The following is a 19,263-nucleotide window of genomic DNA, read 5'->3' as shown; positions in this document are numbered from 1 at the left end:
TTAGAATCACACTCTATGTGCTTACAAAATGAGACACACACGAGACTATGGGACAGCTGAGTATTCAAATCTCCCACCTCTCAACCTCTCATCAACCAAGCCATATACCTACTAAAGTGAAATAGAGGGAGAACGGTCTTGACAATTTAAACTTACTTTTATTTCTTTTTTAATTTTTGGTTTGGCATACAGAGTTGGATTTGACTAAGTAAAAAATAACAAATGTAAAGTATTATTACTAATTTTTCTTAAACTGTATTGGAGCAAAAAACTTTATTAAACTCAGGTACCCTCTCAGAAAAGATAAATAATAATCAGGACAAAGAAAAATGAAACAAAAATAGTCATATGACATTTTGGTCAATGAGAGACTGCATATACGACAGTGGTCCATTAAGATAATACTGGATTTTTACTGTACTTTTCCTGTGTTTATATATGTTTACATAAACAAATACCACTGTGTTACAATTGCCCACAGTATTCAGCACAGTAACATGCTGAACAGATTCGTAGTCTAGAAGCAACAGGCCATATCATATGACCACACAGCCTAGGTGTGCAACACGTTATACCATCTAGTTTTGTTTAAGTGCACTCTGATGATGTTCACACAATGATGAAATCGCCCAATGACTCATTTCTCAGAATGCATCCCCATTGTTAAGTGACATATGAATATAAATGGCTTACTGGTAGGCACATACCTGCTTCGACTTTTGTCTACAGGAAAGATTCGAATAGATTTATCGAAACTAGCAGACACAAACTCCTTCCCAGTGGGAGAGTAATCCACATCAAGCACTGCAGATACATGATCCATATGGACCATTACAGGAGTGTCCAGTGCACGCATATCAAAAGTATATAAGCTGTAAAAGAATTTTTAAATATTTGACACATATTTCTAGAAAGATGCCATATGCAGTACTAAAAGATACCACTGAAAACAAGAACCATTTGCAAAACAATGCACATCTAAACAAAAAGCTCAATGCTGTACACAAGCAGGTGAGGGATAAGGAAAAATTTCAACAGTTTTTATGATTCCTTAAGACTCCACTTATATATATACCAACACATTTTCCACCCTATAAATCTCATTGTAGAAAATGTGGAAATTTCAAAAAAAGTAGAGTACAAAAATTACCTTGAATTCTACTACCCAGAGGCCAGTTATTTAGTACAGCATAATTTTTTAAAAAACCTTTTTCACCATACTATTTAAATACATACTTTTAATAAAATTGAAATGTTATGTAAAGCTTTATATTCTGATATTTCACGTAGCATATTAATGAGCATTACCCATGTTATTAAACAATCTTTGAAAATATTTTAATGGCTGTATATATAAGTTCAAATAATTTATTTCCCTATATTTTAATAGTTTCCAACATTTTATTATATATAATGCTTATTAAATTCCCAACGTTTGGATTTTTAACATTCAATCTTTAACTGAATGGGACAGGTTCAATTAAATCTGGACAGATTCCTACAAGTAGCATTGTTAAGCTTAAAGGCATGAGCATTTTTAGGCTTGATTTGAGTTGCCAAATCACTGCCAACAAAGTTGCACTAATTTATACTCCTACTGGTGATATGTAAGAGTGAACATGGCCTTTCAAAGGGTGAATCAAAATGAGAAACTATACTTTATGCACAATTGGTAAAAACAATGACTTCATGAGTTTCAAGATTCAAAAATTCTTAATCTAATGGCTAAAAGAATAGTGCTTCAAATGAACCAACATGAACAATGGACAAAAGTAATACAGCAATATTGTGACCAAGTTCCTAATATAAAAATACTTGAAGATGCTAAGATTAGTGAGTAGAAGTCTGAGAAGAGGATATCTACATAGTTTCAAAGTATCTCCCCAAAGATATATAATAATTACAAAAGGAAAAAAAAGTAACTCTTTAGTGGAGAAACCTGGCAGACACCACCCTAACCAAATGATCAAGGTTAACATTACTAGTAGTAAGACATTGACAACTGCTTTACAGTTCCTGCCTAAGAACAGTGGTTTTCAGCTAGGTTTGCTTGGTTCCAGCAAACTGCTTTTTAGTAAGATGCTTTATTTCTACATGGGAAAAATGATAAGAATTCCAATTCTAAGCATATCAATTTGTGTACATGGAAAACCTTTAAATAAACAAAGTTCCACATTATAGGATTCATTAGGGATCATCTATTCTAACCCTCACCTTACAGATGCTGAAACTATGATATAGAGTTAGTTTAAATGACTTGCCCAAGTTTATACAGTAATTACTGGTCGGCCTAGACTTGAACTTAGGTTTCTAATTCAGAATGACTAGAATATCTAAAGGGCAATAAAAGAAAAAAATACTTACAAATATAGAAAAGGGATACAAAAGCAAGATCATTTTCAAAGAGCAATTATGATACTCCAACAGTCACTTATTATAAGGGATATGCTCTTTGTTTCAGGTGGCATATGCAATTCTTTTCAAGGCAAGGAATGAGAAATTCCGAGGACACTCTGAAAAACGGTACCTTGCTAAAATAGCTTATTAGAACATTCTTTAGAAATCTTAATGAGGTTGGTCACAATAATGCTGTATTACTCTTGTCTTTTATTGCCTTTAACTGGAACAATGCCACTTAATTTCAAAACATCAATAAAGGTTAAAAAAAAAAGCTTCAATTACTGTGGTTTGGTATTGCTAGTTAATGAGAGTCTAACTGAGCTTCTTTTATTTTTTTAAGACACCAGGGTCTTGTTCTGTTGGCCAGGCTGGAGTGCAGTGGCCCAATTACAACTCACTGTAACCTCAAACTCCTGGACTAAACCTCTTTTTAGCAGAAAGTCATAAAAGATGCTTTTAGTTGGTACCACTAAAACATCATATAATAAATCCTTTTATGAGCTAACACTACTACTTTTTTGCTTCCAAATCTACATAGTGGAACATAAAACAATACAAAGATCTAAAGTTCAATCCACCAACAAACTTCTGCCTTCTTAAAAAAAACATGTATTAAGAATCTATCAAAGGCATAGCGCTATAATAAATGCTTTGGGAAAAAAAAAGATAAGATACTCTTTCCTCCCTGGGAGACTAATCTCCCCGCTTTAATATCTTAAAAAGGGGATAACATGCATGTCCCACCTACCTCATATGGATACTGAAAAGATAACTATAATTTTTCTTCCATCTGACTGAACAGTGATAGCTGATAACATGACCACATGAGCATCAGCTACCTGATACTCACCGCAATACAAACATTGCAGGCAGATATTTTCATTTCCATTAAAACATGTATGGTTCAGTCATTATTTATAAGACCTACATCAAACATCAGCCAACTTCTTCTGTAAAGGGCCAAATGTTAAACATTTTCAGGCAAGTGGGCCATAAGGTCTCCGCTGCAACTATTCAACTCAGGCATTATAGCACAAAAGCAGCCATATCCAATATCTAAATAAGTAAGTGGGTGTGGCCATATTCCAATAAAACTTTATAAAAAACAGGCAACAGAAAGGATTTGGTCCACGAGTTGTTTACTGTCCCTGGTCTACATCATTCTAAATACTGACGAAATAAATACTTTTCTAAGAAGTTCTTCTCCAATTTGGAAAACTTTTTAAAGCTAAACAGATGACAGTTTTCAAACTTTATAGGTATACCTACCTAGTGGTATATATTTTATTAGTACGACTTATACAATTAAGCCATTCATGATAGAAATACACAAGTTTTTAAAAGAGGGAAACTTACTTATAATCTTCATTTGCTGCTGTAAAAATGAAAGCTTCCATAGGGTTCCAACAGATTGTATTTGTTCTCATATCTAAGATAACCTGAGAAAGGAAGAATGGATGAATTTCCCACTTCCTTTCCTTTTCTTTTCCCCACTGATTTAAGCAAATATTTCATAAACACCTATTATGTGTAAAGTACTCAGCTCAGTGCAATGGGAAGAGAAATCAATCAGTAATTGCTTCTTAAATACACAGGCAGAATAGTAAATATAAAAATAGAAATGCTTAACTCCCAGTCTCCTAATCTCAAACAACTTACAGTTTAGTCAGAAAAATGTGACACATAATAAAAGTTAAAATATAAACAATAAAGTAACAAATGACTAAGTATCAAATTAGGGGCAAAATTAATGGTGAGCTTAGGGTTAACATAAAGAACTGTTTCTAAAGACAAGTATGATTTGAACTGACCTGTGAAGGATCAGTAATTCAGTGTTTCTCAATGGGAACACTGTTGGCATTTTGAGCAGGATTATCTTTTGTTGTGTATGACTATCCACTGTAGGATGTTTTGCCACTCAGGGACCTCCCACTACATGTCCCTCTTGCATTCCCAGAACTGTACCTGGTAGGGGACTACAATCCCTGACTAAGAACTACTACATTTATGAGAGAAAGGATAAAAGAAACATTGATAGACTAGTAGATGGAGCAAAGAAGCAACAGAAAGTAGCAGTGTCTAACAATCCCTACATCTATCAAAGTGACCTGCATGTGACAAACTCCAATTCAATGTTACCTAACTGACTAAAAGAAATAAATGAGTTGCAAATTAGAACCAGATTTCAGAGCACCTTGAAAGCCAGGCTACATTTTCTTCAACCTAAAATTAATGGAGCTCCATTAAAAACTGAGAATGTGCAAAGCAGGAGGCAATAACAATGAAAAATAAACTAAATTAAAAAAAAAACAGAATGAGTGTTAGGTAGGTGGGAGGGGGCAGAAATGACTATTCATTAAACTAGTACCTCATGTCAGCATTCTGCTAAATGCTTAAAGTATCATGTTTTATTCTCAGCGAAGTGCTGCGAGATAGTTATTAATACCACCACCTTACAGGAGAAACACATTTTAGGTTAACGTGCTTAAAAGTCTAAGACCAAAGTTCATATAGGATCTTCCCATTAAATCACATGAATGAGTGAAATCATATAAGTGGTACTTTGGAAAGATTATCATATTTATCTACTTCAAACTTCAATGAATGTACTCTCCTAATATCTAGTTGTTACGTTATAAAAATGATTTAGGAATAACAAAAGCAAGTATTAAAAGCATTTCTTTTGTATGTGGACTACGACAACAGACTTGTGGCATCTCAATGATGTCCAGCCCTTTCTGTCACTCAAAATTCTAGTACCTGAAATAAACTTTATACCCTTTTACTTACAATGGCACTCCTTTCCTTACTTACAGACAGTATCTGTCTCCCTCTTGAGAGTTAGCTTAAGTTGTATTATTAGCTCTGATATGTAAGTCCTGAAATTACTACTTTAGAATTGTTAGGAAATCTGTTACTTTGAACAGGATAGTGGTTGCCTAAATGTCAAACTAGTATTGATCAGCATGTAACTGAACAAATAAAGCTGGTTACGTGAATGAGTTCTAAAACCTTCTGGAATAAAATAGTGTACATGTCATACGATAATCATGGGGCTTGAATTTATTGAATATTATTTGAATATTATTACACTGTTAAGTAACAGGATGCAATACCTTTAAGAACTTTCAATTCAGTAAGTATTAATTAGAGGCCTAAAATGTACTGGCATCATGGAAGACACAAGGTTGGTGACTAGGATACAATACCTAGCAGAAATTTAAGAGTCTCTAAAAAGCAATAGGGAGCTGAAAGAACATGACTATCATCATGTAGAGTTCTAAGAACACCTGTATAAAAGATTTTTTTAATTCTGAGAAAATATTTGCTCCATATTGTTAGTCACTCTATTTACAGAGAAATATATAATGCCAACTGTATAAAGCAAAAGTCAAAACTGAAACTCACCTTTTTCAAAGGAGTAGCTTGCCTCATATCGTACAGTACTATATTCCTGTCAGATGCACAACTTCCCAAGAGAAATGTCTAAAAACAAGTATAACAATCACCAGTTCAAAGCCAGACCTGGCAGCAAACCACATCCATTCAGTAAACAAATGATTTAATTGCCCTTAATATTTATGTTAAAAAACAAAGTCCATTTTAAGAGGGTACAATAAATCATCCATAATCTCAGCAACTTAAACCAAGTATTTTCACTGTAAAATCCTCATGCTTGTATTTTATTTATTTATTTATTTATTTAGAGACAGAGTCTTGCTCTGTCACCCAGGCTGGAGTGCAGTGGTGCAATCTTGGCTCACTGCAACCTCTACCTCCCAGGTTCAAGCAATTCTCATGCCTCAGCCTGTGGAGGAGCTGGGATTACAGGGGTGCGCCACCACACCGGGCTAATATTTTGTATTTTTAGAAGAGACAGGGTTTCACCATGTTGCCCAGGCTGGTATCAAACTCCTGACCTCAGGTGAGCCACCTGCCTCAGCCTCCCAAAGTGCTGGGATTACAGGCATGAGCCACCGCACCTGGCCCCCATGCATGTATTTTAATGTACAGATATTACTGTGTTCTAATTTGTAATAAAACATATTTTACTTACCTACTCTTCAACTTAAGACTTGTTTCCTGTTTTTTACTATTATAAGTAATACTTCAATAAACATTTCCCCCCCACGTAGTTCTTCTTTTGAATTATTTCCTTAGGATAAAATTTCACAAATGACATTACTGAATCAAAAGGTATGAACAATTTTATGGCTTTTGATATTTAGGGCTAATTATTTTTCCAAAGAGCTGTACCAGTATACACTACAATGTGGGATATGTCCATTTTAATGCAACTGGGCAGCACTGGGTAGTGTCATTTAAAAGTGTCATTTAAAATATCTGTATGACAGTATTTCCTAGCTATATAAATTTATTGTTTTATTAGTAAATGTTTCTTCGTGTTGTTAACTCTCTATAAATTAGGCCTGTCTTTTGTCCAACTGTTTGAAGATTTTTCTAATTATTTTATTTGTAAGTCAATTATAAATGTGCATGGTACTCACATAACCCCTTGGCATTAAGTAAAAATAAGCCCTCTATCATCCAGTGGATCCCTGAAACCCTCTCTCTGTAGCATCATTCCTCCTCACTCATGGTTCCTGACACTCACAACTATTGGCTTCTGCCTACAATTACTTCCTATTGCAAGTATGTGGGCAGCAAGAAGAGCTATTTACTAAATAGTTGCATGGCCAGCTAACTCCTCCTACTGTCTGTACGCAATTCAAATAACACATCATAAAGCTAATGTTATGATCATGATTTCCTCTCAGTTCTTTCTGAAAGCCTGCTATCTTAATGGCTGCTTTTCTGAGACTTCCCTAGTGAGGTCCCTCAACCTTTCTTGGCTTCTCATTATGTCGCCTCAGGGTCTGACCAGGTTCCATTTCTAAAAAGAAAGACTTTGATCTGAACAAAGCAAAACAATCTACCTAGACCAAATGCCACCTTTCACACTGTAAAACGTCCCAATGATCAGCATAAACTTTTGGCTTTACCAGAATTCTAGGCTTCAATATTTTAAGAGAAAATTAATTATTAATGATTAGAGGAGACAAATACAAATACACTCCATTTGTTCACAGCAACATGCCCTTTCCATTAAGTTTAAAACAGGATAAGAGACACACACACCATTTACTTTTACCACTAAGTTCATAAGGTTAATAGCAATTAAAAAAAAAAACAGCTGAACAAATACAGCTGCTATACAGGCAAGTTTGAAAAACATGGTCACTAGGTCATCCCTAATAATTACGATTTTAGAATTGGTGATCGGCTCTTCTGACACAGATGTTCACCAAAGCAGAGAAGCAAAAGATTTTTTTGTTCCTCTAAATAGTAAGAACCAGTGTCTGTTTAGGTTTTTTTGTGTTTTTTTTTTAGTACGTAATACCGTCACCATCTTGAATTTGGATAGCACTTTTAAAAAATGTTCACATATGTTATCAACTTTTACACTTGGTCCTGCTCTGCAAAGGTAGCTGCCTTTCCATGCCACTTCTCTCTTCTACAACCAAGGGAAACATAAGGAAGGAAGATGGAGGATGGAGTGAGAAAGATATAATAGAGACAGACACTCCAGACCAGGAATCAGAAAACTTTTTCTGTAAAGGGCCAGAGAGTAAGTATTTTAGGTTTTGTGGGCCATATGGTCTCTGTGGCAATTACTTAACTCTGCCATCATAGCACGAAAGCAGCTACAGACAATATGTACGCAAGAGAACATGGCTGTCTTCTAGCAGAGCTCTATTTACAAAAACAGGCAGTGGGCCACATGTGGCTCACAGACTAGTTTGCCAACCTATTCTAGACCTGTAGCGTCTCTAGAAAGTGTGTGTGTGAGCATGTGGTAGTTGCAGGAAGAGTGTCCTCTGACTTCTCAGTAATTCCTCAAGGCCAAGCTCACATCGCACTGCAGCATCTCATTTTCCAGTATATCATACAAACTATTTTTATACCTTACTATTTTGACTCAACCTTACTTCCTATCTTTTATCAGGTTGGGTCTTTAAGAGCATAACACTTGCATATTAGGATTTTTCTCTCATACTACCTAAAATGGTAGCCTCGCAATAACTGCTAAAATTGGCTTATATATGCTATGATTGCCTTTTCTTTCAACAGGAAAAACATATCCCTACTGAGTCTTCTGGACAATCAGTTCATCTATTGTTATGCATTAAGAAAAAGTTCAGAGAAAGATCTGGAGTCCAAGGGCTAGCTTAGCCTTCAGGACAGCCTCCATTCCTAAATTCAGACCTAAACAGACGACATGTAGTGGCCAATCTCCAACTCTTCCCTTAGGCCTGGAGGAACTGGGAATCACAATTCAGACTTCTGAGCAAAGAAAAATATAACTATAACTAATTACCATGCAGTTCAACAATAATCACAAATGTTTTTATGAAGCATTGGTACCTTACCAATTACAAATAGACAAAATGATGTCCAATGCTCCTTCTTCTGACCTCCAAGGCAGGTAGAAAAATTAACATTTTCCTAAATGTACAATGACATAATCTATGGAACATGAAGTTGAAGGCATGAGTAAAACTAAAGTTAAAACAAGACTATATTTACTTGGATTTTACCCCAATGGGCAAATGCACACACCACTCCTCTAACAATGCTTAACTCTAGTATCTGGGACTAAACTGCTGGGAAACATGTTGGGATTTGAGCAAAGGTATCAGAACTCATTTACAATCGGGAAAACTGACAAAATGCCAAAACACCATTAAAATTCAGAAGTTTCTATCATACATTCAAAAGTTTTCTAAACAGAACTGAAATTATTAAGCCATAATAAGTAAAACATACTTAAAAAAAAACATTACCTCAATTGGGTTAAATTTAACACTACTTATACTGTCAAATCCCCAGGTCATTGAACATATAGGATTAGTTCTTTGTTCATCCCAAATGTCTACTTGCTGTCCACATGTGGCAAAAACAGCTTCTTTCCAGTGATGATCAATCCCAGTATACACTGTCTTTAAAAGCAAAAAGGTTAAGAGGATTTTTTTCATTACTAATTCAAATCTGCAGAATAATATTTTAAATATATTTATCTATACTATCTTTTTAGAGAAAAGCCCTGTTCACAAAGAAACTTCTTTGAAGTCCTTACTTAAAGGGGGAAACAATACCATAATGAGACAAGACATTTTAAGAATGAAACCAATTTTGTTTTAGAAATTACTAACGTGTTTCCAACTACAAATTATCTCTACCTCATACTCATACCCCATTCCCCTATCCCTTTAAGAACATTTAGTCTTCTTGAAACCTAAAGCAGAACCTAAATATTATATACTAACCATAATATTGAAACGACAAAGTGATTTTTAAAAGGTAGATTTAATTTAAAGATTAAATCTAATTTTGGAATTGTTTGCTTAATATAAAAATGTAAACATTATAAAACATGGATAGACCAAATGTTCTAAATTATTCTTATGCTAAAACTAAACCACCCATCACCTGATTTGCAGAATAATTTGGTAGAAACATTAATAAGATTTATACATGATGCATAATACTATTAAATTTCTTCATTTCTTAAAGGAGTCTTTCAACTAAGAAATTCTGAGTTTTGTGTAAGATCTATGATGACATCAACTAGACAAGCTGAAGCATTTTCTGAACTTCTATCTTTTTCTCCGTGGTCTTCCCATGGGAAATGTTTCATTGTATCCTCTGGCTAAAAACAGAAATCAAACTCTACTACAATGAATACCAAAAAAAAAAAAAACTGTTAAAATTCTTTAGCATCAAAGGACTTTAGCTGCATTAAATATTGCGTAAATGGGTCAACAATTACAGCCTAAAGTCTTTCGTTTCTTATCTGCATCTTCTTCCCCATCTTAGGAAATTATAACTATAAAATAATTTTAAATAAAAGAATGTTAATAGGCAAGCTATTAGTCAATTTACTTTTGTACCTTTCCTAATATTGTATGTAATGGCTCTTCCTCGTCTCCATAGCCTGGCCCATCCATTTTCCACTGCTTCACAGTTTTGTCATCACCAACCTAGAAATATTTGTTTTATTATGATGATGGTAAGGAACAACAGTTATAAATTAAAACTTGCCAACACATATCAAATAAGTATCTTGTTTAAAACAGGTAACATACCATATCATTCCAGTATTACACTTATTGATCCATTTATATCCCACCTTGTTTTAGTAAAGATTTGTGACAAATACATAAAGTACATAAAACTAAAAATATAATGAGTAGAGCAAAAGAAAAACAAGAACAGGGGCAAAGTTAGGTCATGCATATTGTGATAAACATGGCATTTCAACTTGGAGAAAAAATGGATTATAAAAAATGGTATTATAATATCTGGTTAGTCATTCAAAAAAATTGAGCCAATTTGATGCCTTATGTGAAAATAAAATTCCAGGTAATTTTAAATGTAAAAAATAAAATGAAAAACATGAAAATACTGGAGAGAAGGCATTGTTATAATATTGAAATAGATAAAGTCCTTTTCTGCATGAACTGCAGAAACTACTAAGTCAGTGGTTTTCAAACTGTGAACTTTGGGCCTCTGGAGGACCCTGAGAACTTTTCAGGGTCCACACAGTCAAAACTATTTTCATAATGTTAGTAAAGACATAGTTTGTCTTTTCACTGTGCTGACAGCTGCACAAATAGTAAAAAAGCAACAGTGAGCAAAACTGTTGGCACGTTAGCCCAAATCAAGGCAAAGCAACAAACTATGGTAATTTAGACATGGGTATTTGGCAGACATGTTTAAGCTATCAGGTGAAACAGACTACAAAACAGAACATATAATGTAGTTTGAGGTTGAAAACAAAATCATAAATGTGGTACTGTATAACTGCATACATACAAAACTGCTAGTTTTAACTTAAAATCTTACATTTATATATTAGATGCAATCTATATCCACTTTTTGATAAAATCATTAACAAAGATATCTTTATCTAAGGGAAGAGTATGAATGTAGCTCTTTTCTTACAGCAAATTCAAAAAGGAAAACGCTTCTTGCAAAACAGTTTACAGTGCCCATGAGATGAAAACAGATAAGTGATCAGGAAAGGTTTTGGTACTAAGATTACACAGCGATGTCTTTTGTTGAGGATGTCGATGAACAGAATCCTTAACTACATCCTTGTTATAGACAAAAAGTATTTAATAGGGCTACATCTTATTAACAACTATGAATCTGAGCCACTGGCACTATACTAAAACTCAATTCTAGAAACCTGATTCTACTGGGAGACTAAGATGTAATCTAGGTACCAGGTCTTGACTGATCTGGCTTGACCCAAAGAGACATTTTAGCACTTACAGAATACAGGATAAACTGTGTCCCTGAGCACCCCGTTCCTGAAGACGCTATCCCTCCATCAAGTTTCTGATAGTGTCTGCAAGCTCAAGACTGAATTTGCTTGTAAATGACCAAGCTGTTCTGCCGTCTACTGAGTACAAACCTCAGCGGACCACCAATTCTGGGAAGGGTTTTCTCATTTTATAGAAATGAGTAGCCGAACAAGAATATGTGCCTGGCTAGAACATCTCATCTCCAGGCTGGTTATGCTGAAGAAGGAATTGTTGGTATTACAAACTGGTATATCTTAGTGAAGTTTTAGGTAATAAAAGTTTATGTTTTGCAACACTGTGTACTAAAATTTTTAAAAACATTCTTAAAGTTGTACCAGCAAGTAGTCTTCACATGTGTCTTATCTCTGACAAAGCACACATTACTCAAAAATATCTTTTTGGTTGGGCATGGCGGCTCGCGCCTGTAATCCCAGCACTTTCAGAGGCTGAGGCGGGTGGATCACTAGGTCAGGAGATCGAGACCATCATGGCTAACACGGTGAAACCCTGTCTCTACTAAAAATAAAAATAAATAAAAAAATTAGCCGGGAGTGGTGGTGGGCACCTGTAGTCCCAGCTACTGGGGAGACTGAGGCAAGAGAATGGCGTGAACCCGGGAGGCAGAGCTTGCAGTGAGCAGAGATCATGCCACTGCACTCCAACCTGGGCGACAGAGGGAGACTTCATCTCAAAAAAAAAAAAATCTTTTTGAAAAACCGAGAAACAATAAGGTGGGCATGGTGACTCATGCCTGTAATCCCAACACTTTTTGGGAGGCTGAGACAGGCTTGAGCCCAGGAGTTCAACATCGGCCTGGGCAACGTAGCAAGACTCTGTCTCTTTAAAAAAATAAAGTGGGGGGAAATAAGTGGTGAATATGAAACATTTTCAGTCTTTATTCATTTCTTAAAATGTTTTTTATTTAATTTACAAATAAAAGATATATATTTATGATGTACAACATTGTGTTTTGATACACGTAGACACTGTGGAATGGATAAACCAAGCTAATTAACATATCTGTTACCTCACATACTTATTATTTTGTGGTGAGAACATTTAATTCACTTTCATAGCAATTGTCAAGAGAGCATGTTGTTATTAACTATAATCACAGTGTTGTACAACATCCATCCCATCTATTTGAAATTTTGTCTCTTTTGACCAACATCTCCCCAATCTCCCTCCCTCAAAGCCCCTAGTAATGACCATTTTACTCCATTTCTAAGAGTTTGGCTTTTTTAGATTCCACACAACTGAGATCATGTGGTATCTGTCTTATTTAACTTAGCATCATGTCCTCCAGGTTCATTCATGTATGCTGCAAGTGACAGGATTTCCTTCTTTCTGAAGGCTGAATAGTATTCCTGTGTGCGTGTGTGTGTGTACTTTTTTTTTTAAAATTCATTCATCCATTGCTGGACACTTTAGGTTGATTCCATATCCTGGGTATTGTGAATAATGCTGCAAATGAGCCTTTATTCATTTTAAGCATTAAAAAAAAATACACTAAGTCCTCTGGCTGAGCTATTAATCAATATATCCAAGAGAATAACCAAGTGTAAGAAGCCTTAGGTGCCATCCATTCCCACTTGCCAATCAATTCCTTGCACAACACTGGGCTTGCAGGGTCAGGCAGCTTATCTGCACCCCTCTAGTGAAAAGTAACTGAATGCTTTGCAAGGTAGCCTATTCTGCTTTTTGACAGCAAATAAGTTTTTTTTTTTTACACCAAAACCGAATCTTTTAACACTAACACCTATTTCCAGTGCCTCTCTATGGAGCAACAAATTAGTCTATTTTCTTTTTCACATGACAATCTTTCAAATTGTAGCTATCAGGTTTCCCAGAAGTCATCTTTTCCCTTTATTATTCTCTTGCAATCTAGCTTCTGCACCCAGCCAACCTGGATTGCAACCTACATTTTATAACTCAGCTCAACCTGTTTTTTAAAAAGTCACCAGTAAATAAAGAATAAGGAAGATCTATTTGACTGATTAGCGCATGTGTATACAAAAACTGTTGTATAGGTAGGTCAAAACACTTGAAAAGACATACACCAAACTAATAGTGTTAGAAGTGAAAGACTAGAATTATGCAATCTTTAATTTTCTATTTTTTACATCTCTACATTTCTAAAATGTTTTCCTCAGTCTTCATTTTTCATTATTCTTTGTAGTAGTTCACAAAACTGACTATTCCTTCCTCCTAGGACACTATGCTCATTCACAGATTCTTTGAGCTCTGGCTACTCCTAGAGTTTTCCCACTTCCCAGAGGTGGGCATTCCCCAAGGCTACTTCCTTGACATCTTTGTATTTCTATATTTTCCTCCTCATTTCCTCCCAATGATGCCATACTATGGCTTCAATGATTAGTTCTATATTGATGATGTCAAGTTCAGCTCTGACCTCCCTCCTGAGCTCCAGACCTGCATCTGTAAAGGTATGACAGACATCTTCACTCGAACAGCCCATTAGCAGTCCAGTTTGTCACATCATATCCTTCCCATTGCCACCCTTCAAAACTTGCTGGTACTCCTCAGCAACAGGAACCAACCTCTTCCCAGGCACCTCTCAGTTGTCAAACCTGTCAATCCTCCAAAGTATCAACCACTGATTTCTAGTTTTCAGTCTCCATAATAAGGTAGCCTCTTATTATTGCCTGCCAAACTATTAAAATGGCCTTCAAACTGATCACTAACTGCTGTCAAATTACTTAACTCAAAGCACAGCTCAGATTTTGTCGTTCCCCTTGTTTAAAAAGACTTTCAATGAACTTGAATTGGTATTTGTACACCAATGGTCACGGCAACACTATTCACAATAGCCAAAAGGTGGAAACAAATCAAATGCTCATTGATGAATGAACGGATAAACAAAATGTGACACATACAATGGAATGTTATTTAGCCATAAAAAGAAAGGAAATTCTGACATGTACTACAACATGGATAAACCTTGAAGACAATTATGTTAAGTAAAATAAGCCAGACCCAAAAGCCTTATTCCACATACACAAAATGGTATAATTCTTTAAAATATGCTTCTATTTATATGAGGTACCCAGAATAGTCAAAATCACAGAGGCAAAAAGTAAAATAGTAGTTACCAGGGGTTGGGGACTGAGGGGACAGAGGAGTTATTGTTTAATGACTATAGTTTCAGCTGGGGATGATGAAAAAGTTCTGAAGACAGATGGTGGTGATGGTTGCACAGTGATGTGAATGTACTGGATGCCACCAAACTGTATATTTAAAAACAGAGAGTAAATTTTACGTTCCGGATATCTTGCCACACACAGGCACAAAACTTCGATGATTCCTTATTATCTGACTAACAAAAGTACAAATTACTCATCTTAGCATCAAAAATCCTCCAGAGTAAGCCAAACTCTTTCTAGACTTACCTCTCATTAATTCCACTTTTGTGGTAAATTGAATATTAGTTTAATCATGTTAAGTTATGGGGAAGGCTGAATTATATAAAGAAAACTAGTAATTTTCAAGGTTTAATAAGCTATTTTGCATTGTGAAACTCCAAAAGGGCCTAGGAACAAATAAATGAACTTGAAAAAAAATGTATTCAATTAGATTATTCTTACCTATGTTGATCAAATTTAATGACTTAATGGTATTATACTTACAGTGAAAAAAGAAGTCCCACAAAAGCGAGTACATATTCCTCGTACAAAGCCTTCATGTGCTTGTATTGTACGGATACAATTCCGCTGAGTTAGATTCCAAATTCTAACCTATGATAAGGCATACCAGGAAATTTCAGTGAACTATAAATGTAAAATGTTCAGGATAAATTCAACACTGACAAGGCTACGAATCACTCTACTGGGCAGCTAAAACCAAAATCCTTTGGATTAAAACAATGCAATGCATATGGATAAGTATACTGATGAGCAAAAAATACAACCTGACAAATACTCTGTTGATTCTAAAGTGTTACAAAACTTTTTCACTTGCCATAGTAGGAAATTAGGTGTTGACAACATCTGTGAAAAAACTCATACTTAAATACTTTAATTATAAACATGATTATTTAATTTACTGTCAAATTGATCCTTAAACTACTGCATTTATAATTTCTTAGGTTTAAAGAAGAAAATACTAAACAGTATTCCTAACGAAATTTAGTCTTGAGAAGTAAATTGAAATCCAATAAAGTAAAACCTACAGTAACTAAAAACTAAAGGGAAAACATTTGTAATATAACTACTTTTAGTTGAAAATATCATCTAGATTGACACTTGCCTCTCCATCACACGCCCCAGAAAGGACAGTAGCCAGCTTCTCTGGATGCTTTGCCAAGCAATTGACTCCATCACGGTGACCATCCAGCGAAGCAAGGAATGGTTTTGCAAATACTCGTTCCAGTTTGGTAGCATTTAAAGCTCTTATATATTCTCGTGGGACCTCAAAAGGATGTAAAGCAGGATCATAGTTTCTTGGAACTGAAATAAGAATGATCCTTCTTAATAATTCACACTTAATATTTCCTGCAGTCTTCCTCAGCTAATCACTCTGTTATTCAATAAGCATTTAGTTAGTGACATTGTTCTATGCCTAACACTAAGAATACAAAAGTAGAAGACCTGTTGTTCAGAAATCTTTCTGAAATTACTGGAAAATCATGGGATGCATACATCTTGCAAAACAATTAGACCCTAGGTATATATACATGCAGCATTTCCTTTTTTTTTTTTTTTTGAGACGGAGTCTTGCTCCGTCACCAGGCTGGAGTGCAGTGGCGCAATCTCGGCTCACTGCAACCTCCGCTTCTCAGGTTCAAGCAATTCTCCTGCCTCAGCCACCCGAGTAGCTGGGATTACAGGCGCATGCCACCACGCCCAGCTAATTTTTCTATTTTTAGTAGAGATGGGGTTTCACCATATTGGTCAGGCTGGTCTCGATCTCGTGACCTCGTGATCCACACGCCTCAGCCTCCCAAAGTGCTGGGATTACAGGCATGAGCCACCGTGCCCGGCCTCCCTTTTATATGTCCTAGTACCCTCTTCAACTGGGTTGTAAGTGTTCACTGTCAGGGCTTCCAATACACTTTTCATTTGTACTTCCTTATGCCTAGCACAGTTTCTGGGACAAAATATGTGCAAGATGTTTGCTCAACAGAACTCTAAGCTTCCTGTAGGGCAGGGAACATTATTAATCTCTGGTGCTAAATACTGTGCTGATAGACACACGAAGTTGTGATTATGATGATATTATATAGCTATCATTTACTGAGCACTTTCTATGTTTGTTTACTTACTTAAAAAAGACTCACATAAGAGTTCAAGTGCCAGGCGCTGTTCCAAAAACCTTAACCGTTTAATCTCCACAGCATCCTATGTGTTAAGTTCTATTACTATCTCACACTTTATTGATGGGAAAACTGAGGCATAAAGAGGTTAAGTAACTCGAATACGACACGGTGGAGCCAGGATTCAAACCAAGGCAGTATGGCTCCAGAATCTATGTTTTAACTGTCCTGATACGCTGCTAAACACATTGTCTTGGTTAATAATCACGCTTAGGGCCGGGCGTGGTGGCTCACGCCTGTAATCCCAGCACTTTGGGGGGCCGGGACGGACGGATCACGAGGTCAGGAGATCGAGACCATCCTGGCTACCACAGTGAAATCCCATCTACTAAAAATACAAAAAGTTAGCCAGCGGTGGGGGTGGTATGTGCCTGCAGTCCCAGCTACTCAGGAGGCTGAGGCAAAAGAATCACTTGAACCTGGGAGGTGGAGGTTGCAGTGAGCCGAGATCGCGCCACTGCACTCCAGCCTGGCTGACAGAGTGTGACTTCATCTCAAAAAAAAAAAAAAAAAAAAAAAAAAAAAAAAAAATATATATATATATATATATATATATATATATATATATATATAATTATGCTTAGAAAGTAATTTTAAGCTCGTATGTCTAAAAAAACTCAGTGAGTAAAAAGTAAATGCATCTTCTTACCCCATGACTTCATCCTGCTGTTTCTTTCTGACTCCCTGGTAATGGTGTTATATCTAACATTCAACAAAGCTCTAGCCTAGGTCATTCTTATGTATTCCATCTTCCATATTCCCTACTACCAAAACTCAAAGTCCTACTCATCATCTCTTTGCAACACTTACTCATCTTTCAACTCTCTATTTCTAGTTTTTTGTGTTTTGTTTTTGTTTTTGTTTTGAGATGCGGTATCATTCTGTCACCCAAGCTGGAATGCAGTGATATGACTATAGCCTACTGCAGCCTCAACCTCCAGGGCTTAAGTGATCCTCCCACCTTAGCCTCTCACCTCAGCCTCCCAAGTAGCTTGGACCTGAGGCATGCACCACCATGCCCCATTAATCTTTAAATTTTTTGTAGAGACGGGGGTCTCCTTATGATGCCCAGGCTACTCTCGAACTCCTGGGCTCAAGAGATCCTCCCACCTTTGCCGCCCAAAGTGTTGGGTTTATGAATGTGAGCCACTGCATTCCCAGGCAGTTTGGGTCTTCATTATCTTATACTTGGGCTACTTTAATATCATCCCTACTTGATTTGGCGGCAATTTACACTATTATCAGATGTCTTTTTTTTTCTTTTTTTTTTGAGACGGAGTCTTGCTCTGTTGCCCAGGCTGGAGTGCAGTGGCGCAATCTCGGCTCACTGCAAGCTCCACCTCCCGGGTTCACACCATTCTCCTGCCTCAGCCTCCCGAGTAGCTGGGACTACAGGCACCCGCCACCATGCCCGGCTAATTTATTTATTTTTTTGTATTTTTAGTAGAGATGGGGTTTCACCATGTTAGCCAGGATAGTCTCGATCTCCTGACCTCGTGATCTTCCCGCCTCGGCCTCCCAAAGTGCTGGGATTACAGGCGTGAGCCACTGCGCCCAGCCTATCAGATGTCATCTTAAAACAGCTTTTTACATGTCACTCCCATGCTTAAAACTTCCAAAGGCTCCCTATATAGTAGTCTTCAAACTTTCTGTGTGCCCCATTAATAACAGAGTTTTTGAGCAGATCCCTTCTCAACATATGTGTATGTTAATGAGAGCATGTAATTAAAGATGTTCTTTTTTTTTTTTTTTTTTTGAGACGGAGTCTCCCTCTGTCACCCAGGCTGGAGTGCAGTGACGCAATCTCGGCTCACTGCAAGCTCTGCCTCCTGGGTTCACACCATTCTCCCGCCTCAGCCTCCTGAGTAGCTGTGACTACAGGCACCCAGCACCACGCTGGGCTAATTTTTTTGTATTTTTAGTAGAGACGGGATTTCACTGTGTTAGCCAGGATGGTCTCAATCTCCTGACCTCGTGATCCGCCCGTCTCGGCCTCCCAAAGTGCTGGGATTACAGGCATAAGCCACCACGCCCAGCCAAAGATCTTTTTTTTTAAGAAAAATCTTGATTCAACACTGTGATAGATTTAAAGGTTCTAATTTCAGCTTAATTCAATGTTTGGTTTTAATGGCTACTATTATAAAAAAAATTCAAGCAGTACTC

At 36.4% G+C, this 19,263-nt stretch overlaps 1 protein-coding gene across 2 annotated transcripts in view, besides 1 other annotated feature; it reads right to left on the bottom strand.

The window, feature by feature from the left end:
• Nucleotides 1–19,263, bottom strand: part of DCAF13 (DDB1 and CUL4 associated factor 13) — a 28,068-nt gene that overhangs the window by 6,956 nt on the left and 1,849 nt on the right. Inside the window, exons 2-8 of one of the 2 annotated variants that reach the window (NM_015420.7) lie at nt 16,035–16,234; nt 15,416–15,523; nt 10,353–10,442; nt 9,246–9,401; nt 5,809–5,886; nt 3,757–3,839; nt 708–872 (exon numbers count right to left, since the gene is read on the bottom strand). In NM_015420.7, coding sequence (NP_056235.5) covers nt 708–872; nt 3,757–3,839; nt 5,809–5,886; nt 9,246–9,401; nt 10,353–10,442; nt 15,416–15,523; nt 16,035–16,234 — 880 coding nt within the window. The remainder of the gene's footprint in view (nt 1–707; nt 873–3,756; nt 3,840–5,808; nt 5,887–9,245; nt 9,402–10,352; nt 10,443–15,415; nt 15,524–16,034; nt 16,235–19,263) is intronic. The other variant, NM_001416065.1, reaches the window with a different exon arrangement.
• Nucleotides 16,999–17,890: an enhancer, noted in NCBI's record as "H3K4me1 hESC enhancer chr8:104430836-104431727 (GRCh37/hg19 assembly coordinates)". NCBI's record gives its function as "activates a minimal SCP1, AML or CMV promoter by ChIP-STARR-seq in primed H9 embryonic stem cells {active_cell/tissue: H9 hESC(primed)}" and the evidence as "EXISTENCE:reporter gene assay evidence [ECO:0000049][PMID:30033119]".

This window comes from Homo sapiens, chromosome 8 (genome assembly GCF_000001405.40).
Source record: "Homo sapiens chromosome 8, GRCh38.p14 Primary Assembly".
NCBI classification, from domain to species: domain Eukaryota; kingdom Metazoa; phylum Chordata; class Mammalia; order Primates; family Hominidae; genus Homo; species Homo sapiens.
The sequence above is the reverse complement of the archived record's forward strand: the minus strand, read 5'-3'. Positions and strand labels throughout refer to the sequence as shown.